This window comes from Homo sapiens, chromosome 5, assembly GCF_000001405.40.
Source record: "Homo sapiens chromosome 5, GRCh38.p14 Primary Assembly".
In the NCBI taxonomy this organism is placed as follows: domain Eukaryota; kingdom Metazoa; phylum Chordata; class Mammalia; order Primates; family Hominidae; genus Homo; species Homo sapiens.
The window spans coordinates 36,648,809-36,672,821 of NC_000005.10; the positions used below are offsets into that span (position 1 = coordinate 36,648,809).

Here is a 24,013-nt window from a genome sequence, read left to right on the forward strand (position 1 = left end):
CTCATGATCCTGTGTTAATGGCCTGTGGTTCAAGGGTTACTAAGATTGCAATAGAAGAAAAAAAATATAAAAGCAAAAAAATTTCCCAAGAAACTACCACAAATACATACTTTTATACTGCACATAATGAACATTCCCGACTGTACAGTGCTATAATTATAGTCCTTATGTATGTTTAATTGTAAAAGTCACACATCTACCCTACTTGAATGAATGTATCTGATTGACTCATTGGTAAAAGATTATTTATCTTGACGAGGCCTGGTGGCTCATGCCTGTAATCCCAGTACTTTGGGAGGCCAAGGTGGGTGGATCACCTGAGATTGGGAGTTCGAGACCAGCTGGACCAACATGGAGAAACCCCATCTCTACTAAAAAAAAAATACAAAATTAGCCAGGTTTGGTGGCCCATGCTTGTAATCCCAGCTACTCCAGAGGCTGAGGCAGGAGAATCACTTGAACCTGGGAGGTGGAGGTTGCAGTGAACTGAGATTGTGCCATTGCACTCCAGCCTGGGCAACAAAAGCAAAACTCCATCTCAAAAAAAAAAAAAAAAAAAGATTCTCTATCTCTATTCCGTATCTCTATCCACACACACAAAAAGGGACAATTGGCATAAATTCCTATTTTTAGGCTTCCCAAAGAAAAACACAATCCTATGTTCTGTTGGCTGACAAGACTAAGATTAAAAAGTGACATAAAGCGTAGGACTGCAGCCTTTCTATAGTTTATTATTTGTCTCCTGAAAAGGAAGATATTTGTATTTCTTTTAGGAACTTCACTCCAACAGATTTATTCTAAAACAATTCCTGACTGTGTTGAAATAATGAGGTACAGTTCACTTTGAGAAAATACCCTAAAGAAAAGTCCTGATCAATGATTCTCAAAATTTTTCCGGTCTCAATATACTTATGGGATAAAAAGTCATTCTTCTCAGTAATTAATAGTAGCTAATATAACCCTTTGCTTTTGTGTTTATTGTTGGTGTAGAGAGAGCAGAAGGAGCTATGTTAATTTGTATGGCTTTTAAAAACTAAAGATTATTCTGATATCCCAATATTCATTTCCCCCAGTCCTCAACCCTTGAGTGAGATGGGCCTTCCCCATTGAAAATCACTGTGTGAGTTTTCCAAAAACAATTAATTATAATACGTTCCATCATGGATTACTTTAGTGCACTTAAAATTTGACTCAAAATTTTACAAGCATTGATTTTACTTTCAGAAATACGTTTGTGGGCAGATGTGAAATTTTCCTATGGGAATATCAGTCTACCTTACTGTTTTGGGGACATCCAAGTCTTAGTGTAGAGGCGGGTGGGGAAACTAGATTAAATGTTGAGTGAACTTGTCTACTGTTTCTACCTTGACCTCTAACTCTCAGGTGAGGGTGGAAGTCCTCTCTCCTGAATACAGGATAGGGATTGTCTATAGTCTGAGGGAAAGGCTGCTTTCCACTGGGGTCATTTATCCATCTGTAAAAGAGGATTTTTCTCCCCTTAAATATAATCATAATACCCATTATCACTTGTTAAAACATAAATAATAATCCTTTAATAATGCCATTAGTCAGTTTTCAAAAATCCCCATTTCTTTTCTTTCTCTTTTCACAGTTTGTTTGAATCAAGCCATATTCATACATTGAATTTGTTTGACAGAGTCTCTGAATCTGTTAAGTTTGAAGGCTAGCTCTCACATTCTCTATCACCAGCTTTATCTCTGTCTTCCTTTCCCACCCTTCTTATTTGTAATTTGTTTGTTAAAGAGATCAGGTTGTCAGGTAAAATTAGTCTTCCACAATCTGGATTTTGATGATTATGTCACCATGGTATTGTTTAACATCTTTCTCTTTCCCCCAAACCATTGGTTTTCAGTCATGAGAGATAGATATAAGCATTAAAACTCTATAGCTGAAATGGCCTTGAAGATCCTTTGTAACCCATAGCTTTTAAAAGCTGGTACAAGTCAATTGGCCAAAGGATATTGAGTTAGGCAGGGCCAGCCTTTGGCAATGCAATTGCTGCTTCCTCAGACTCAACAAAAATTATTTGTTTTCTTTGAAAATGGGAAAAAGCTACAGGATAAGTCATAAGGCATAAGCATAACTAGAATTGTCTGCAAAATAAGCTTATACACATGGTAAAGGCCTCATGATTCTAAGCCTGTGTCCCAGGTTCCCTTTCAAGTTACCAAGATTTGCAGAGTTACTTCATTATTATGAAGATGGTGAGTGCATGCAGAACAAATGTATTCCTGGTAAAAGAACATTAACATGATGGGGAATGCAGCTATTCTAGATGTGATATATAAGAGTAGGGAAACTAAGTTTTTTTTAAAAAAAAAAAAAAAAAAAAAAAAAGGAAATATAGAAACTAGGGGCTAAACTAGTAACTTGGCCCCTCCTTGGGTTCCTTCCCCACACCAGGCTTGCTGACTCTTCCTCCCTAACTCCACTGCCCTCTACTATGGCCACCATCTGCACCCTAGTCTGGGCAACACCATATTGATCCTAATCTACACTAACTTCCTTTCTAGTCTCCCTGCCATCCGCCTACCCCACAATCCAGGGTCTTGCTCTTTTCTTACCTACTTTTTTTGCACAAAGGTAGCATGTTCTTCCTAAAACTCAACTCTGGGCTCATTCCCCACATTGCTTTTGGAATAAAGATCAAACTTCTCACATGGCTCCAGCTTGTGCCTTTCTGTCTTATTTCTCACTCCTCCTCCCCACCCTCCCACCCCCAGCCCAACCCCACTCCCACCCTAGTGTCTGCCTGGACTCTTTTCCCCAGCTTCTTCACCTGAAACCCCTCCTTACCCTCAGGTCTTACCTTGCATGTCACTTTCTCCAGGAAACATCTCCTACACACACAGTACAGTTAGGCAGCCCCATTGCCAGTCTCCACCTCCTCCAGCCAACTGTGTCATGAAAACAGGGACCATTTTGTTCAGCTCTCCATCCCTGGGGACAGACAGAAATCATCTTTCGAGATTCCAGAGAGTCTTAAGTTATTTTATAAAGTGTTGTGAAAGTCTCCACTTTCATGTTAAAAAGTACTATATGCTGCATAACATTTTTCAGAAAGGGTTATTATGGAAGGGCCGAGGGTCAAAGTTCCAAGGTCCTGAAAGTATTACACTGCTTCCCTGAGCAGTGTCAGACCAGAAAAACCAACACCGGACTCTTGACTCAGGGAAATATTGCACCCTACTGCCAATTTATGTGGTTGGCTTTTTTATCTTTTTAAACAGGCAAAGAGAGCTTTGCCATGCTTTTCCTGGAAAGATTCACTGATTCAATCCTTCAGCTAATATTTGGTGGAATGCCTACTAAAGCCATGGCATGCAATTCTGCCGTAGGACATGAAGTCGTGTGTGCCTGCTGTTGAAAGCAGTGAGTGTTACATGAGAGTTTTCTGATTGCCAGCTAGTTTGCTTCCCTGACAGGCATTTCCAGATGTGAGGAAAGATTTATTTTGGCACTCCCAGCTCCAAGTGGCGTGAGCGCACACACACATACACACACACACACACACACAACATTCACTCTCCTTCAGTGCTTAGGATCATCATCCTCTGCCTTCAAAGTTGGTAAATTGAGTTTGCGCTACAGCAGAATAGCTGGCTGTTGGTAACTTTCAAGGGGAGAAAGGGCATCTCTCCCTCCCCTGCAGCTGAGTACAACAGCTTAAAAATAGAACAATGTGTGTTTGGTGTGTTCTTTTCATCCTCTGCATCAATAACAGGTGTACAGTTACAGACACAAAGAGCTAGATTCACGTCTTCTGAAGCCTCCAGAGAATTCCCAGAGTTACCCATGGAGCAAGAACTGGGCCTAAAATATTTAGTAAAAAGAAAGTAACCCAATATATCTATGTATTACTAACACTGCTGTCTCACATGGCTTTATTCTTCTCCTCCCATAGTGATCCCCAGATGTAAATGCACAGCGGAAGAAAATTTTACCAAGAACAATTCTTAGCGACATTACATACCCACACTTTCCCCAAAACAAAATAAAGTTAATACCTCTAAAAATTGAACTACAGAAATTGGCGTGACTGCTGTGAATAGCAAACTTGGAAATGCTTTGGGTGAGGGTACAATACTGAACATTCAAATGCTTCCACTGGATAATGCAGGTCTAGCTTCATAAACCCAGTGTGAGAAGTCAGATTGATTTGCTAGTTTGCTTTTTATGCATTTTCTAAGATGTTTCTTCTTGTTTTATGACCTCTTAGAAGCACTGACCTCATATTTGCCTTGAGATTGAATGCTTTGCCCATCTTGCTGCACATCTGTGATCATTAATGGTATTACTTAATGAATAAGTTAGCATGTAAATTTGCAATGTGGAAACTGCATCCCCTGCCATCACACTTCTCAGCAGCTGCTTACAATTCTTTCACGTTCCCTCCCCAAGGAAATGGTTCATAACAGAATTGAACAGATGCTAGGTGTTTGGCAGCATTGTGAGCGACACTGGTTTTCAAAATTTAGGTTATTTCATGTCAGATAATTACAATTTCAACAGCTTTTAGGCCTTTAATGTGTGGCGGTGTTCACATAAATACTTAACCTCTGACTCCACATTTACCCCTCCCAAGTTCCCCTAACTTATTTATTGGTTCTGACAACACCACTACTAAATTCTTGGCTCTCAAAGTCGAATCTGGTAAACACGCATGGGCAGATCTGACTTGGCACTAAAATTGCTCCTTCTTTCTAGATGAGCTTTTACAGTTGTTCCTGACAGCAGTCAAGTGTTGCCAGAACTCCAATGTATAGTTTAGTAGAGTTTCCCAAGTGCCTCTCTCCTGGGCCCCTCACTTCTGACACACACAGATCTCTTCTTTCTCAACCTGATGCACTGTTCTGTCTCATGGAATGCTGTGATGCCCTGGACTTGTGAGCTTTGAGAGCAAACACTAGGTCTTTCTAGAGCTCCTGAGAGTGGCATACAATAAGTGCTCAATAAATGCATCCCACATGAGCTGAGGATAATTAGCTAAAAATAAGGAAAATATTGATGCTTTTGTTTGTTTGTTTTGTTTTTGAGAGAGCCTCGCTCTGTCGCCCAGACTGGAGTGCAGTGGTGCGATCTTGGCTCACTGCAACCTTCGCCTCCTGAGTTCAAGTGATTCTCCTGCCTCAGCCTCCTGAGTAGTTGGGATTACAGGCATGTGCCACCACATCCAGCTAATTTTTGTATTTTTCGTAGAGACAGGGTTTTGCCATGTTGGTCAGGCTGGTCTCGAACTCCTGACCTCGTGATCCACCCTCCTCAGCCTCCAAAAGTGCTGGGATTACAGGTGTGAGCCACCACGCCCAGCCTAATGTTTTCTTCCTAATCAGCTTTAATGTCAGAAGACTCAAAATCCACATCTGAGGGGTTCTTACACCCCTCCAGGGGCTGTTAGGAAACACAGTGAAAATGGTTTGGGCATACAGAAAACACTCTGTGAGTGGGATGAGCCAATGGAAATGTTCTCGTGCTGCAGAACACTCAGTGGTAGATGAAGGGTGGTTTGTGTATCTTAATGACTGAGTCCCTGCTCATCGATATCCCAATCACTTGACTTCTTAACACAGTTTATCTCCCTACTTGAAATGTTTTACCTTTCCCCCCATTCGAAAGTTATTCCACACACATTCATGAAGCATTTTACAAATGCTGCAGCCTCCCTAAGACTGGATGCTGATAACACTTCTAAAGGGGCACAGACTCCATAAGACTGTGGATGCCGATACACTTCTCAAGAGGCACCATTTCCTTTCCCCTAGCAAGCCTTGTATAGCTCTGTCCCCTCACTGGATACACAGAAAACAGTCTTGACCGAGCATCTGCCATATGTCTTCATGCTACCTTCCCTTCCTTGTCCCCATTGCATGTGTGCTCTGCGTCATGCAGGGCTGCTATTGTCTAGCTGAGGTTGTTAATTCATTCAGTATTGAGGCCCTCCAGTTAGCTGTGCTAGGTGCCTAAGAAGGAAGTCACAGCACTGTTAACCATAGACTCCAGGTCCTACATCTCCTTCCTCTGCAGAGTGAGGAGATGTTTGCATCTGAAAAGGTAAACAGGGGCCAGCTGAGTGGTGCAGGGGACATTCGCTCTGGCTGCATTTATTTGTAGTAATTCCTGTTTGGTTCTTAAGAACACAAACTTCTGGAGCTACCAGTTGCAGCATTGACTAGCTGTGGGAGAAGTCACTTTGGCATTCAGGGCTTGTTTATGGAGTGGAAATAATAGTAGTGACAGTAATAAACATGTTTGTTGTATGTGCCTCCTGGGGGACCTGGAGGTGAGCTCACGGGGAATCATGGCTGTGAGTGTGGTCTATGTGAATCTATAGGCATTGGCTAATGTCAGTGACTACTACACTCTGAGATTCTGCTTTAATATTATAAACACCAACTTCAAAAGCCCTTTTGGCTTCTTTGCCGGAGAGTATCAGGTGTAAGGTCTCTCTTTGCACTTGCATCTAGTGTCTGCCTAGAGAGGATCATTTCCTCAGCCTCGGCTTGGTCAAATGATGGCATTCTCACTGGCTGTGCCCTGGCTTTGTCACTAATTGTTAGGCAGTTTCAGAGATCGTGTTGCATGTTACTTCACCCCGTTTCTGCTGACTGGCTGCCTCCTGAGTGCTGCTTACTGCAGTTCATAGATGTTTCTGAAAACTGCTTATGGGTGACCCTGAGTAAACAATTAAAAGTCACTGTATTTTCTATGTTAGAATTAAAAAATCTACCTTGCCAAGAAAGCTTGTGACCTTGTAAAGATTGGGAAAACTCCACTTGTCATAAACTTAACCAGTTTCCAACTCATGCACTAAAGCAAAGCTTTAAGCCACTTTGCCTTATCAAAAGGCCATGAAACTTTCATTCTGTCCTAGCCTCACCACTAACTAGTGGTGTCATTTTATACATCATCAAGCCTTTTGGGTTCCTTGACCTCACTCACCAGACCTGGAGGGCCCCGGCCAGTTTTAGGCATTTAATTTTGACTTTTTGATGACAGAATGGTTTCCAAGGGTGTTTGAGATTCCCTGTGGAATTATGTTCACTACAATCAAGTTTCCATTGCATTAAGATGAGTGCAAGTTAGAGGAAACACATCACAGGGTTTACTTAGCCTGGAACAGAGCTGGACGCATGATTGCTCCTCAGTAATCAGATAAATAAGATGTGATTTACATCAGAAGCTGTAAATGACTGAGAACATTGGTGTTGCAGTAAAGATTATACTTATTCTACCTTAAAGTACTAAAATCCTAATCTTGATTAAAGGTTAATTCTATAATTGGTCAGTGACTTTTTAATTTTACCTGCCATAATAATTGCTAGCAACTACTGGGTAAAAAAAATATGCTGGTTATTAAACATATGTACTTGTTATTCCTTCTGAAAGGTCATTGTTATTATTCCCATTTTATAGATCAAGAAACTAGGTCTCAGAGAGGTTGCATAATGTCTCAGGGTCTCCCTGCTAGCAAGGGGCTGAGCTTGAATTCAAACTCAAATCTACGTGTCACTAAAGCCCCCTCTCTCTAGAGCCATGTAACCCCTGATGTGGTATGTGGCCTCTAGATTAGTACTGGATCAGTTTATAATTTTAAAGTGCATTTGTTCCCTTAAGTCTTTTCTCCACATGAGCTAAATATTTTTCATAATTTTTCTGTACTCGTGTACTTAGCCCTTTACATCATGTGTGGTTGAACATTCTATTATTTGGTGAGACTATGACTGTCTAATTGGTCAGTGAGAATCTGACTTGTCTAGCAACAAAAGAACTCCTTGAGAAGAGGAGCTACTATTTGTACATTTGCATTGCAGCCCTGGTTGCAGTGATGAACTCTTGCTATAGTATGTTACAAAATTATGTCATTGATTTGTAGATTGAGTATAGTTGCTTAATTATTCTCACCTGCTGAATTTGCAGAATTTGTCATTCATCATTCATTCAACAAAGCTATACTGAGTTCCTGCAGTGTTAGTCACTGGGCATATAGTAATCAATGTAAACCATCGTGTATTACTATACTTCAAGGGCTGTGACCTGGAAAATCACTGATATGTTATTCCAGAATGAATAAAAGTGAAGTTGAACTTAAGGCATATACTTTAAAAGAATGGACTTTTTAATAATCATTGTAGCACAACCAGAAATTTTTGCTAATGAATTATCCAATTAACTTTTCTGAAGCCTAAAATAATTATGCTGTTATTTCTTTTGCATATGAATAACTTCTGTTTGTATTGATCCTTGATGCATTTACATCTCTGCCCAAATGATATGACATTCCTATCTAGAGGGGAAGGATATTTATTAGCTTATACTTCTCTAGATTGATACTACTGATTCTTTTAGGAAAACAGTAATTCCTGAAGTTACAAAGTCAGGCTAACAGTATTCCCACAAAACATCTTGTAATAGCTTCATGTGCTATAGGGAATTTTTTTGTTTAAAAAGTGCTCCCTTTCTATAATCACTTTTTGGTTGTGGAATTCCTGAAACAATTTGTTTTGGTTATTCTGAAAAATTCTGAATCTTCCCTAATACCTTTAGTAATAAAATAGGACCTGATAAAAATCACGAAGTGTCTTTGAATCTGGCTGAATATCTAGACTTAATGAGTGTTTAAGGCTCCATGTCAACCTGCAAAGATACCTGGTGAAGCACCCTTATGTACTTTTCTAAAAAAACCCTGCCCTGTTCCATACTTTAATCAACGACTCAACAACATAGAAGTCATCTACATAGTGTTTTCATACGACATAAGCCCAAAAAGGATGGCTTCCACTGCATATGCCTGTGATCATGATTCATAATGATTTCAATAGGCTGCAATGCTGGATGGAAACCAACATGATGAAGTTGAGCAAGGAATAAGTGTACATTTCTGCTTTTAGATTCAAAAGGCAATTGCGCAATTACAGGATGGGGAACAACTGAGCTTGGCAGCAGTTCATGTGACTAAAGGCTTAATGTGAACCAACAGTAGGAAGTGGTGGCTAAAAAAGAATGAATGTAGCCGTGTGCTTCCTCAGTAGAAATATTAATAGTCACTGTACTCTGCGCTGACCGCACTGCATTGGGAATAATTTGTTTGGTTCTGAGCACATTCAGGAGAGGCTTTGACAAAGCAGAGTAGCTACTAAGAGGGTGTTGAATCCAATCCAAGACACATTTATTAGACTCCTGTTTTGGGCAGGCAATGTGCTAACCAGGGCAGGCAATAAAGACACAAAGAGACTTTGCCAGTCTCTAGGCTCAAGGAGTTGAAAATTTAAATAGAGAGTCAGACAGGTACACGCATGACTATAAAACAAAGCGCCCCACGAAACCAAGAAGCACAAAGAAAGGGTTGTGGGAATTCAGGGGCTGGGCTAGTGGTCAGATTTCCACAGGAAATGAGGACGAGAGCAGAAGAAGCCTTAAGAGCAAAGAGACAGAGACAGGAAAACCCAAGGCATGTCTAGGGAATGCTGAGAAGTCTGGGTTGCCTGGCAGAATAGGGTAGGCCTGCGTAGGAAATGAAGCTGAAAAAAGAAGGTTTGGGCCAGAGCGTGAGGACATTGACTGGTAGGCAGTGGGAGGCATTACAGGTTGGTGAGCATCTGAAAAAAAATAATGATATATGAGGATCTGTTGGAGAAATGATGCATATTGAGTCTATAGAAAAGAAGACCGAAGTCCCCTGGTAAACGTATCTCAGACTTGCTTTGGGTTCCTCCAGAAGCAAAAATTTATCTCAAAGGGAAAGGGTTAAAAGGAATGAGATTTTAGATTTCTAAGCAGTTTTTTTTGTTTGTTTGTTTAATCAAAGCTGCCCATGGTGAAGACTTACCTTAGAAGATTGTGAGCACCATTGTGGTGGGACTCAGAGAAAGTTTGGTAACTGACACTCTAAACAGAGTTGGGGGAGAAATGCTGCAGCTTCACCAACTGGCCTGGGCATTCTAGGGATTACCCATGGCCTTTGCAATGTGTAATTATCCATGGTTGAGGTTTTTTTCTTTCTTCTTTGACTTAAGACATCCATTAGTATGTCATTTTCTGAATAAAGCCACTATGTTATGACTCTCCAGTTCAATGAGAGATGTCAAACTAACTCCAGTGCAGGTCCCAGGGCTGTGACAGTAGCCACTCACCATGACTGTGGCACTTTACAACCTACCCATTTTTTTTTTTACTGTGATATATGGCTTCCTTTCAAACATGACTTTAAGCAGATTACTATCACAATTCCACATTGGATAGATCAAATGCACATCAATGATTGATACCAGTCTAGTGTGAAGAAGAATTTATTTTACAGAAAATCTCCAAGACAGTAGGCATAATGATCAAACAGTGGGCACTGGAGTTGGAGAGACTTCAGATGCCAGCAATGCCACTTATTAGCTGTGTGATCCTGAGTGAGGGACTTAACCTCCCTGTTTCCTAATCCATAAATGCAGAGTGACCATTGTTAGCCTCCACCTTGAAGGGTTGTTAGGAGGATAAAGGAGGTGAAGCACTCAGCACAGTGCCTGGCAGTAGGCTCTAATTTGACTGAGTTCTTATGGTTTACAATGGTGTTCCAAGGAGCCCTTCAGAGCTAAAAATCCTTTTTTAAAAGCAAAAATAAAAACATCACTGTCATCATGCCACATATTATTAAGGCATCACGTATGTTAATTTATTGAATTCTCAAAAACATCCATTTGCCAAGAGAGTGAGGGATTACATACCTTGACCAGTCACAAGCTGATAAGTGGGGGGAGCCAGGATTCAAGCCAAGCAGCCCTGGAGTTCATGTTGATGACAACCATTTCCTTCCAGTTCGTACCAACACGTTTCTGTTTTCCTCCAATTCCATTCCAAATCACCCCGCTAGATAATTTGATGTGTTTTATTTGTTTAGGCCAGTTTCACAATATTTTTTTAAGTCCTGTTGACTGTAATAAATACATCAAAGGCTTAATGTTTATGTCCTTTGCCAGAGTATCAAGAAGGTCCTTAATAAATGTTGAAAGAGTGCACGAATAAGTGAAAAATTTTAATTGTAGGAGTAATTTATAGTCACTTTTAGAAGAAGCATGTTATCCTGAATGTAACTTCACTACCTTACCAATTCATTCCATTATTTGTGATGAGCCATAGTCCTTTGAATCCTTCATTTAAAAATCATTGTTTTGTACCTGGCTTCTCTTTACCTTATGTATAGTTCTTCTATTCCATACTTCTCTTTAACAACAATGTCCCCAGTTCTATCACTCGCTGTCTTTTTAAATCATTTAGTGTGACTATATTTTACTCAAATATATCCATCTACCAATTGTGTTTGTTCCAAACCCTGGTGACTGTATCTTCATCACTCACTCTATTCCTAAATTCCAGATTAAAGAATTATTTTACCAACCCGTCTCATGCAACTCAAGTCAACCAAATGTTACTTCCACATCCTTTCTCTATACGCCTTCCTAGACCCCTGAAATCTATTCAGGATAAGTGAAGTTTGCTATAAGGGACTGTCCACAATTTTCTTGTATAATTTTTGGGATTCCTAAATACTCCTTGAAAAAAAACATTGGAATATGAAGCTGAGAAGAAACTATGCACGTAAGTATTACAAAACTAAAGTAGAATGTGCAGAAACAACTCCCTCCTAGAGAAGGAAGAAAGCTACAAAAGTGTTATGCCACTACTTGTGGAATATATCAGCAATTATTCAATTCCATTGCTGCCCTTGGACCTGGGGGCAAAAATGTAGCTTTTCCTGTTCCAAGGGAAGAATGTTCTGTTACAATGGTAACCAGAAACAGGGAAGCCGACCAATTCTAGAGTTTACTCCGACAGTGTTTTCACTCTATGCAGTAACACTGCTTTATTGTTTGGCTCTGGTAGCTGAGAGAACAATCTCCCACTCCCTAGGTGAGACTATTCTTTTATAGGAACTATTCTTTTAGATAAAACAACCAATGAGCTTTTAAATGCTGAGAAAACTAATCAGAACTGAAAGGGGGTGCCGTTGGCCACAGCTCAAGAAATATGCTGACTAAGATAAAAGCCCCTTCTGAATTTTTCTCCATCCCATCTTCCTTTGCTTTCTCATCTCCCTTCCTTTTCTCTACGTTTTCTCTTTTCTCTTTCTCCTCTTGTCATTCTCTCAGCTCTATCTCCACAATCTTCCCTTTCTCCTCTCCTCAGCCCCAGCTCTATCACCAAAGATTTCATTTTGCACACTCTTTTTACTGGCCAAAGTGTGGACCTGAATTTTTTAAATGTATTTTCTTATATAGTAGATAAGATTCACATCTCTGGATTTAATTTAAAAAATAGACAAAGTGGTGGCTCATGCCTGTAATCTCAGCACTTTGGGAGGTCCAGGCGGGCGGATCACCTGAGGTCAGGAGTGCGAGACCAGACAGGCCAACGTGGCGAAACCCCGTCTCTACTAAAAATACAAAAATTAGCCAAGCGTGGTGGTGGGCACCTGTAATCCCAGCTACTTGGGAGGCTGAGGCAGGAGAATCACTTGAACCTGGGAGGCAGAGGTTGCAGTAAGCTGAGATCATGCCACTGCACTCCAGCCTGGGCAACAGAGCGAGACTCCGTCTCAAAGAAAAAGAAAAGAAAAGAAACAAGGTGAACATGTTTTATTCACTAGTTGCTTTTTTTTCTTTAAAGAAATACATCTGTTTGAAAAATCTTAATTTCAGTTTCAAGCAACAAACAACTTCAGTCCATTTCAGAGTGCTAACGTTGGAATCTGGTTCCAGAATCTTTGCAGAGTGTGGGTGGGCACAGGTGCATGTGGCTCCTTTGGCCATAAGAATCTGCTGCTTCCCAGCCTCATGACTGGGCCTGGAGTCACACTCCTGCTTCAGCTGTTCTTTGGCAAAGCAGGGCCAGAATGAACTGGTCTTTAACATTCATATATTGCTTTCAACTTCTATGAGGCTTTCATTTCAATTCCTTTTCTTCTGTGAGGGACAGGCCTTCCTTGGGAAGAAAGGTCACCCCTTGAGTCTGACATGCTCTGCAGTCAATTTGAGAAGCCTTTTGGTTAATTTTGGACAAGTCAAGCCTGGTGGTGGAATTCGGTCCCATTTAGCATTCTGCCAGCTAGGAAGCGTGCTATCTCGATCATCTTCCCAAGACAGTCATGCGGGAAGGTCTTTTCGCTAACAAGAAACACAATCCAAAGTAAAGACAGCTTTTGTGGAAATTGCAAACTACTCATCCAGTGGTCAGTTGTAAATCATGATTCTTTTGGAAAGAAAGGGAGACAGGCTGGGGCTCTGGCCCTCAAAGAACTTCCTCTCATTAAACCAAAGCAATTTGCTGCTCTCCCCAGGCTCTTTCTGTGCGTAAATTCACCTACTTTTCCCGCCACCATCAGTGGTCCTGGTGCTGCTGGTGAATGGGCATCATGGGGAGACAGGGCTTTCCACGTGATAGAGGTTTCTTTCCAAACCCAGGCTTTACAGGTAGATCCAAGGGTGGCTTTCGTCAGCCTGTTGCCCCCACTGCCCAACACACACTTTGCTTTTTGCTGCTATTTTCTGCGGTCCTGGGTTTCTAAATCTTGGCAAGAGGACAGTCATTCCTTTGTGCTCGGCTGTTACAATGAGGTAGCCAGAGAAAGGGTCTTGGTCTGAGGCTGTCAGCTGTTACTAATCACGACTCCCCGGCCCATGGTGGGTCCCGCTCGCCTCTCCCTCTTGCTCTGCTTAGCACACATAAAGAAGATGAATTACTCTCTGGTTCCTCTTCAAAAAAGCATATTGTGCGGCACATTCCAATACAGTGAGCGAAGGATGGGCTCATGTGAAGGGTAAATGGGTATCCAAATCACCTCGCAGCGGGGCTCGCGCCGGCAGCTGTGGGCCTCTGAGAAGTGAATTTCGGAGCTGCCCCTTCTGAGAGTTTCCGGCGACCTCGCTGAGAGTGAGAGGAAGTCCCTGCGGTGGGCCCTCTGGCAAACCACATACTGGGAAGATCGCGGGACTGTGTTAAGCTGTCATGAGAGTCAATTGAATGGTCAAGACCAGCGTAGACAGAAATAAAGCTTGACCACTCAGAGGCCGCCATGGGCTGCTTACCCGGGAGAGGCAGTCTCCACCCCAAAGGTTAAGCCAAAGGGCGCTAGAAGTTCTTTGATGTTAGAAGTAGCAGTGGTGGAAGTTGTGCCTCAGTTTCCTCTCATTGCTTCCGAATTAAAGTTCATCCTCAAAGGACGACTGTAGCCAGAGAAAAGGGATTGTCTGCTTAGTCCTATCAGACCGAGGATACAGTGATTTAGTTGACTTTTTCTGCCACTAATAATACTGTCTTCGCCACTGATTTTTTTCTACTTAACAATCTTTCAAAAGAGAATGTTTCTCTTTTGCTTTTCTACACTTCATTTTCTTTTCTTGTTTGTTTGTTTTTGTTTTTAGAGACGGAGTCTCGCTCTGTCCCCCAGGCTGGAGTGCAGTAGCGTGATCTCTGCTCCCTGCAACCTCCGCTTCCCAGGTTCGAGCAATTCTCCTGCCTCAGCCTCTCGGGTAGCTGGGATTACAGGCATGCTCCACCACGCCCGGCATTTTTTTTTTTTTTTTTTTTTTTTTGTATTTTTTGTATTTTTAGTAGAGACGGGGTCCCCATGTTGGCCAGGCTGGTCCCGAACTCCTGACCTCAGGTGATCCACCTGCCTCAGCCTCCCAAAGTACTGGGATTATAGGCGTGAGCCACCGCGCCCGGCCCTGCACTTAGTTTTCTTAAGGAACACTAGAGCTTGAAGAAAAAGACGTGTTGACAAGTTTTAAGGGTCAAATTTAAAAATCAGTTTCCCTGATAAAGTATGTGCCATCACACGTGGCAAATCTGTAAGGAACACTTGGTGTTTTCATGTAATGTAATCTTATAAGGCTAAGCTGTGTTATAGGCTAATAAAATGTCATTTGTGATATTATAAACAGCCATAATGAGAAGGAACCTTTGACCAGGGTGAAAACCCGTGTGAAAATGCTTGTGACTGTGAATTCTGCAAAATCGTTCTCCGCTCTTCATGGAGATGGTTTCATTCTCTTCACCAAGAATCACTGATAAAAGTAAATTGCCTTCTTTGCTCAAAATTCCGTGAAGTGAACCTTTCTAAAATGTATTCCCTTGTTACAATGTCCATAAAATTTCTGTTCAAGTGAAATGACCCAATACCCAAGGTCACTATCCTCATTCTGTGGTCTCCACTAGTGAGATGAAGCAAGTTCTTGGGTATGGTGGACAGCCCAAGATCATAGGAAACAAAGATGGTAGGAAGGGAAGACAATAAATAGTTCATGGTTCCTTTTTGTTGCTGTTGTTGTTGTTTTTAGACAGAGTTTCGCTCTTTTTTGCCCAGGCTGGAGTGCAATGGCATGATCTCAGCTCACTGCAACCTCTGCCTCCCAGGTTCGAGGGATTCTCCTGCCTCAGCCTCCCAACTAGCTGGGATTACAGGCGTGCACCACCACACCTAGCTAATTTTGTATTTTTAGTAGAGACAGGGTTTCACTATGTTGGCCAGGCTGGTCTCGAACTCCTGACCTCCAGTGATCCACCCTCCTCGGCCTCCCAAAGTGCTGGAATTACAGGTTTGAGCCACCATGCCCGGCCCATTGGCTCCTTTTTAAAGCCTCTACTATTAACCAAATGGGGGTTTATGCCAGTGTTTACAAACATTTTTTTTTTTACCAGAAACTACAATAATAAATATATTTTGTATTGCAACCTGGCACTCACACACATACACACAGAGAGCTGAAAAAAAATTCTCACAAAACAATACTTACCTTTACCACATGTGACACACTGTGATATTTTCTATTCACTTTGATTAATTGATGAAAATACTAGTTATGACCTACTAAATTGACTTCATGAAGGCACACATTTAGACCACAGGCCTCTCTTTCATTCCCTTCTCTGCATTTCTATTTTAATTTACTCATTCATTCACCTGTTAACATATGGACAGATAGAGCTATAGCAGTTACTTCTATAGGCTCATCTGCAAGAGGGAAATATGTTAGCAAAACAGGGAAAATAATACAGGTGTGCCAGAGAGAAGGCAAAGGAAGGGAAAGCAATAGGGTGCCCATTCCATGGTGGTGAGTAATAAGTGGAAGTTTTCCAGCCTCCTGGCCTTCCTGAGCAGCTTAGGGCCACCTTGCCGGGAACTCATTCCCAGCTCTGGAAATGAAACTCCGGGTGCCGCTGGGTTTGCATTGACACTCTTTCCCCACAAGGTTTGTCTCTTGTTGTTCCAGACAGAATGAACCTCATTATTTTGGATTAATTGGGGGAAGATCAACCAAAATTAGTGAGTCAGAATTAAAGAGTGTTTTAAACAAAAGCAACTTTAGAATTTGTAATTCATATAGTAACCCAATCTAAGTGTTAGAAAAAAAAAAAAAGCATGTGGCCTCTATCCAGCATAGCAACAAAAACACTAATAAGAATGGCTGGTTATTCAAAAAAATGATTATTGAGCCCCTCTATGTGCAGACACTATGCTAGGCACTGAGGCCACTGCAATGAATAAAACAGATGGTCCCGCTCTCTTGGCACTAAAATTCTGGTAGCAGGAGACACAGAATGAACAAAACTGTCCTTTATCAAGGACCTACTTTGTACCCTGTAAATATGTTTTCTCTAATCTTGCAATGTAGATATTGTTAGTGTATTTTCTACATCAGAAGTAAGGCTTAGAGGTGAAATAATGCTTTGTGAACAGCTTGTTTATTATGTACCTGTTTAATAAGTAATAATAACACCTAACATTTGTTGAATGCTTACCACGTGCTGAACACTACTTTAAGTGCTTTCTATATGGAAGCCCCTTTAATGCCAGTGAAAACCCTATGAGGGAGCTTCTATTTTTCACATTCCACAGAGGAGGAAACTGAGGCTTGGAGAAGCCACATGGTACCAGAGCCAAAAGTAGAATCCAGGTATTCTAACGTCAGAGTCTGAACTCTTAACCACTGTGCCACTGTCTCTTAGATTACATTCCGAGGCTATCACTGGCTTACTAACTGTGATGCAAAATTGTGACATAATCATTCTTTACCAACAATTTGGAATCTAACTTTTAATGATTTGTCTTCGGTTCCAGAACCCTTAGAATCATAGCACTTTGCAGTGTTTTTACAAGCTAGTCTATAAAGGGGCCAGAAGAAAATATTTTTGCACAGAAAAACAATATAGTTCTAGAGAGAGATTTGAAGTGACTTTCTTTGTGCTCCCTCCCCACCCCTCACTGCCTTTCCTGGGTGAGTTTTTTCACCCTCCTCCTCACTCTCTTCCTAGGATGGCAGTGTACCCTGGACTCAGCAGTGGGCAGCTGCCTAGGACACACGGCCCCATTTTTCAATCTGTAATTATGAAGTATATTGTATTTTTAGAGTTTGATTTTCTTATTAAAAAAACTTATATTCACATGAATATGGTACATATTAGCACTCATCCTTGCTTTCCTTGTAAGTTTGCCCATCTTGAAATTCTAGGAGGGTTGAGAACAGGCGTCTTTCATTAGATGCGTGTATGAGAAACTCATTGTGGAGAAGGGGTACATCTAAAATAAAATAAAAACTGAAACAGAACAATCTTCTTGAATCAGCAGTTGCCATCACTCTTTTCTTTCCTTCTGGACCTGTTCCAGTGGCCCTGGAAGAACAATGAAACATCATGGGGATAAGTGGGAAGACAATTCAAAACAGAAGACTACTTCTCTAGATTTTGTGTTTCAAAACCAGAGATGGGAATTGTTGAGGGGAGTACACTGATACATGTTAATGTCCAAGTCACAGATTTTCAGCAGACAGGAGAATAAAATCCATGCCAATGATGGAAACTTGGGAACTTGGCACATTTTATGTTGTCCTTTAATACTTGACTGAATGTATATTTTATTTATCCAAGAAGTCATATTAATTATTATACCATAAGAGATCTAATTTACCATATAGACTTACAGAGTACCACATACACATTTCCAAAACATTCCCTCTCTGCCCCCTAAAATCCCATGAATTTGGTGCATATTTGTTGTGACAAATCAATTGCCAAAAGACTGTCTTTATAATTACCTATTTGCTCAAGAAACTCCCTTCCTTTCCTCTCTCTTCCATGTGATTACTGCCTAAAATACTCAGGTGTTTGAAGCAAAGTTTTAATCTTTTACTTTCTAGAAAGCATCTTATTCAGTCTCCTTCTGATGCTTAACTCATTGTTGAACAGAAATAGGTTTGGAGAAATGATTGCTTGCTTGATAAGTGGTTATTTATGGGTAGACTTGTAGAAAAGAAAATAAGACTCAAGTGCTCACAGCAGCCAGCAAATATCCACGGCTCTCCACCCTCCATTAAACATGCTCTGGGCTGTTTTTCTAGGAATGGTGAAGAATTTGCACTGATATTATCAGCTCTCTAGCTAGTCCTTCTGGTGACCAGTGTTAATCAGCTTGATCTTAAAGTAGGTTTAGGGAATACTGAGTAATGGGACAGAGATTTTTCACAATTATATTCCTCCACAGAATTATCTTCAAGCCAAGTGGCTCATCTTAGCAATTAACTCAAATGCAAGAAAGTTAGAGAAAGTCAGCATGGATAACAAGCAAATGAAACATGGGTGACTCCTGGCTTGTCCATAAAAAGAGAGGTATAGCAGTAAGAATACTCTCTTGGAAATGTGGGTTCAAATCCTGCCACTGTCATTTATTAGCTGTGCAATGCCGGGCAAGTTATTTAACTTCTCTGGTCTCTTGTTTCTTCACCTATAATATAGTATCAACAATATCTGCATTATACAATTGTCATGGAATTAAATGACCATTACCATCAATCAAAGATAGGACTTAGCGAGTGAGTCTTTGGACCACATAAAAGTTAACTCAAAATGTACAAAACACACACACAAATGTGTCATTGTAAGTGAAAGAGCCATCATGGTACTTATAACAATAGTACAATACAGTATTTCTTTGGATTTCAGGGGGGTCTTGATTCTGAAGGCAGGTTGTTTTCATAATAAAGATGTCATGATGTCTTGAATTGGGCTAGTTTAGCTAAGCCCAGATCAAATGAAGAAAAAGAAACTAGTCAAGATCATTATCTTTACCACTTGCTCTGGAATGTGTTTCTCAAATATGTATTTAGATGAATGCATGGCTGTCGTAACACACTCCCACAATTACCTACATACCAAAGTAACTTCCCGTCTCCCCATCACCCCAGTGCCCTTTTCTCCCATATATTTTAAAGTGATAAGGCTCAATGTAAACTTCCTCCTTCCCAAACGTTTAGGGCAGTTCCTGCCAAAGTGCCCCATTCTACAAAGTGATTTAGTACTTTAACCTTGCTCCAGACACTCTGACATCTCTGTTTAGTCTCTGGTGTAAAAAGGTTCGTCTCTCATATTTCTTGAGGTTGGGGAAAGGAAATGGTCACAGAGTTTAGGTGAGGGTGGGAAAGTGATGCCCTGCTCATTTGGGGTTTTGTCTTCCAGAGTTCTTCCTCCATTTTCCTGATGCCACCAGTATTAAGGCCATTGTGTGTGAACAGATTGCACACATCTGTCCTGCTGTTGCCCTGATGACAGTGTACTGCCTTGTTCCTGGTGGTCTCATTTGTTTTACAAGCTAGGGTACCTGGAACAGAGGTGGTCAAGTAACTCTGTGTGGGACTTCGATCCTCCTTTAAGGGAAGGACCTACATGGAGATGTGATTAATGAATATACCTCCCTTACCTTTCTTGGCTGAAAGAATAGCAGCTGTTACTTTATTCTCTTTCAAAGGATAAGGGCCAATATGCAGAGGTGAGTGAGGCCTCTCATTTGATGATTGAATCTCCTTCTGTGCTTTTTGGGAAAAAATGCCTTGATGGTTGTCTTCAGCTATTTAGAATTAGAAAGTATGAAGAAAATGTTTTCATATTGGTTTTTACTTTAAACATTTTTTAAAAACCTATGAACTTTATTTTCTAGAGTCGACAGCCCTGTAGCCGTGGGTATTGGGATAACTTTCCCTATCCCTCTCCCTATGGTGTGAGAAGGGACATTAAACCTCATCCTTTGTTTGCCACTTTGGTTTCCAGTGCTCTGCCTTGACCACTTAGCACTCTCTCCGAATAGCTGTAGGTCGAGAATAGTGGGCAGGAGCATCAGAGAAGAGTTGGCGTGAGAACGGAACAGCACCACAAAATAGAAGGCGAGAGGGAAAAAAGCATCTCGGAGGAAGAAAATACTGCCGCCTGGTACTCCCTGGTACCCAGAGATATCCGGCGTATTGTGCTTACACTACTCGCCGGTTCCACAGGGAGAGAGCCGGAAGAATTGCAGGCTTTGGTGGTGACAAGTTCAGGCACTCATGGGAAAGAGAGTGGGCCCCTTTCTGAGAGAAATCATTTTGAGCACAGCCAAGCCAAGATATTTTGAGATGTGATTCAGACCTGAGAATGAAACTGCGGGGGGATGGGATACTTCGGTTGGGAACAGATTAGCCCATTTTTAACATAGTTGAAATGTTGAAGTGGTGCCATCCTAACAAATGAATACTTAGCCCCGGGTTTCGAGAAAGTGGCCAAGGATAAAAGAGGCTAAGTGCATGGCATCAAAGCCAAAGCTGGCCTCCTTATCTGTGGGAGCTGCAGTTGGTTTTCTCAGAGGCAGAAAGTACACTGAACCTAGTTACATAAGACCCGAGTTCAAGTTCCCACTCCATTCCACTTGGTGTTAAGTCCTTTAAACTGTTACTTAACTGCTTTATAATCTGCATTATAGGTTGTTAAAAATAAGAACATATGAAATACTAAGGGCTTATAATGAAAATTATAAGTGATACGATTCAAATACGAATGAAATTATAAATTGAAGGTCATGGCTTCAATTTCCACTTAAGCTAATTACCTTTGTATTAAGATTTTTGAGCAAACCCAACCAGTTATCTGGCAATCGTAGACACCATTTTAATCAGTACTTTACCTTCTAAATATGCAAATATTTAGAGTTCACACAAACTCTAAATATGTTCATGTGAACAGGGCCACTACCTGAATATTAAACCACCATTAGAATCTGATACTCGTCATTGAAATACAGCATAACCTTTTAATACATTTGTGGAAACACCATTTTAAATTGTTAAAAAAAAAAAAAACTCAATTAACTGTAATTGGATTACACTATAATTGGATTTTAGTGGGATTGGGGAGGATAAAGAATGAAGAAAAGTGAAGATACAGCTAATAAAACAGAAGAGCTCATATTAATATAGATAATTTAATCTTTTGAGAGTTTTTTGTCTTTTCCAATAGTTTTTCAGCCCAAAAAGCATGGAACTGTGTTCCATTAGCTACAGCCTTTAGGAAAACCTTAAAAGTCATGCCTCCTTTTTTCTCTAGGATGACACCTTGCCTGAGGCAGACTTTGAAGATGTTCTGAAAATGAGGGAAAGAGGGATATTTAGCATGAGATGAGGCATCTCAGACCTGTGGGACAAAGTAGAGGAAGACAGGGTACAAGAATGAGAACTGTGCCATGATAATTTTTAAAAATTCTTTGATTGGATGAGATGAAATAATAGCAGAGAAACTATTTGAGAACCTTATAAGCCAATGTCTACTTTAAATGCAAATTGAAGATAGATCACCAGGTGATCAGAATAATAGCTTAAATTGTACATTAAAACATCAAAAAAGAATCCCAAATACATATATAAAATAATTCTTTTGAAAGAATTTAATGGCAGTTAATCTGTGTGTGAATCACCAGAGTGCTTGAACTTGAGGTAAACTTAGATTATCCTGCCAGAAAAATGTTTTAAGTATTTATTTACACACACATGCACACAGGCACACTCACACACGCACTACTCACACTCATAGCTTCCCCAACTAACAGTAACCTAGGAAACAATCTGATTGCACTTTTGGACCATTAGAGAACAGTATTGATTTGGCCATGTGAAATCAACTCTTGGGGCAGAAAATGAGTGACTGCATGTTCACTGACACTGCTGATGCCTCACCATTCTAGCCTCGGCCTTTTCCCTTCACCTTGTGAGATTTGGGGCCAGGTTCTCACAACATGTACGAAATCCCATGGCTGGGTGGGATAAGGGTAGGGGAGTATAAAGGAAATGCTGTTCCCATTGTTTTCCACTGGAGAATTCCCTGGACTGACTTCCTGAAAATCTTCTGTTTGCCTCCACCAGGAATGGCGGCGCTAGATAGTAAGGCATCAGGGAAGATGGGAATGCGAGCTGTAGTCTATTATATGACTACCACCATCATTGCTGTGGTGATTGGCATAATCATTGTCATCATCATCCATCCTGGGAAGGGCACAAAGGAAAACATGCACAGAGAAGGCAAAATTGTACGAGTGACAGCTGCAGATGCCTTCCTGGACTTGATCAGGTATGTCCTTGCAAGCCCGTCCTTTGGGGTGTATTTTCGCCATCCAGACCCTCTTACTGGTTACTATTCAAACCCTGGAAGGGGTGTGTGACTGAACCAGCCTTGCCAGGCTTGAAATGAAGGTCATATATCTTTACCTCTTTCTTATAGAAATTGAAGAAAGGATCCATTTTCTGATCTTGTATGAGAGAGGCGAAAAGAGCAAGGAGAGGATATGGATTTTGAGAGCCTTGCTTTTCGGATTCAGAATCTGGTCACTGACCTCTCTCAACTATGCAGCTCACCTTGGAATTTTAATAATTCTTAACCTATTTTTCTTAACTGCTGTTCTTTAAGGCTAATTTTTATTCAAGTATGCCCTATTCTTTGGACCCTTCTGATTTTGAACTTGTGATCAGTATCATTGCCCACTATGCACAACGCATTATACACAGTTTGGTTCCAGAGGGACTTTAGAGATCATCTTGTCAAACCTGTCCCAAGGTTTTCCTTTCATAATGTTTATGGAGAAAGAATTTGGCAGGTCTGTAATAAAAGAATAAAGGATGGCTTCTTTAGCATTGTTTTACATACAAACCATACGTTGATTACAAATGAGTTTTATCTACTACTTGAAGCAGACTTGGTAATAGAGTCAGCCTTATGTAGAACTGTGAAGTAAGCCAAAATCCAATCCCAGCACCTTCCTGCTTCCTCTCCCCTACACACCTGCCCTTGCTCAGTCAGGTCCTGGCAGGAAGCATACCACATACTCTAAAGGAACCTTGAAGAAGGTTTGCCAAGGTGCGGGCAGCCTTAAAGGAACCTACAAACGATGGTAAGGCCTCAAAGCCCTAACAGTAAGAAACTATTTTGTTAACACCCTTAGCTATGAAGGAGCAAAGGGAACCCAGAAAGAGCTATAGCCTTGGGAGGGAAGGGCCTCAGGAGCCCTAAATGGAGGAAGGGAGCTGCCACAAAATCTGTCAAAGAGAGCTCTGGGAGAATATAGACTCCCTCTGCCCTGTGATCTGTCAGTGCATGTCACTAGACAAACCTAATAGGAGTAGGAAGCCAGAGGGCAAGAGAACCCATGTGTTGTGGTCCATAGAGGCCTGGATCCCAGGGCATAGACAGAGTGGAGAGTGAATCTAGAATGACAAAGGAAAGATATCTCAGCATAGGCTCTAGATGCCCCATCTGCTCAGCATTCCCCCACTGTTTAGTCCCTCCCAGCCTGTCTTCCCAAAGACTAGCTCTTTCCTCCCAGCTTTTCAGCTAACTTACCTGCAGAGTGATTGGGCTGCCAATTATAGATACCTGTCTAAAGGGCCCATTCCCCATTGATCTTCTGAAGGAAATTCCTCTATGCCATCTCAAGGAATGGGGCTGTGGCAGGTAAAGCCAAGAGAGATTTGGGGAGCAGAGGGTACCTTCAGCAGCACCTCTCAATTCCCACCATGGGTGACTTTGCACCATCTCTATGTATGTAAACACTACCCAAGGGGCCTCTTCTTGAAAGTCCTTTTTCAGGGAGTTAATCACAATGATCTGCAGGTATCAAGCCACCCTATAACATTATTTCATACCAAGTTGACATTCAATAGCT

At 41.2% G+C, this 24,013-nt stretch overlaps 1 protein-coding gene and 1 long non-coding RNA gene across 14 annotated transcripts in view; one reads left to right on the forward strand and one right to left on the reverse strand.

The window, feature by feature from the left end:
* SLC1A3 (solute carrier family 1 member 3) overlaps window positions 1-24,013 on the forward strand; it is a 91,747-nt gene that overhangs the window by 52,221 nt on the left and 15,513 nt on the right. For all 13 annotated transcript variants that reach the window (NM_001438455.1, NM_001438456.1, NM_001438454.1 and 10 more), the window contains one exon: window positions 22,221-22,425. In NM_001438455.1, the coding sequence (NP_001425384.1) occupies window positions 22,221-22,425 (205 nt within the window). The remainder of the gene's footprint in view (window positions 1-22,220; window positions 22,426-24,013) is intronic.
* SLC1A3-AS1 (SLC1A3 antisense RNA 1) overlaps window positions 17,087-24,013 on the reverse strand; it is a 59,294-nt gene continuing 52,367 nt past the window's right edge. The window contains exon 2 of the long non-coding RNA XR_007058736.1: window positions 17,087-19,903. This is a non-coding gene — a long non-coding RNA (SLC1A3 antisense RNA 1). The remainder of the gene's footprint in view (window positions 19,904-24,013) is intronic.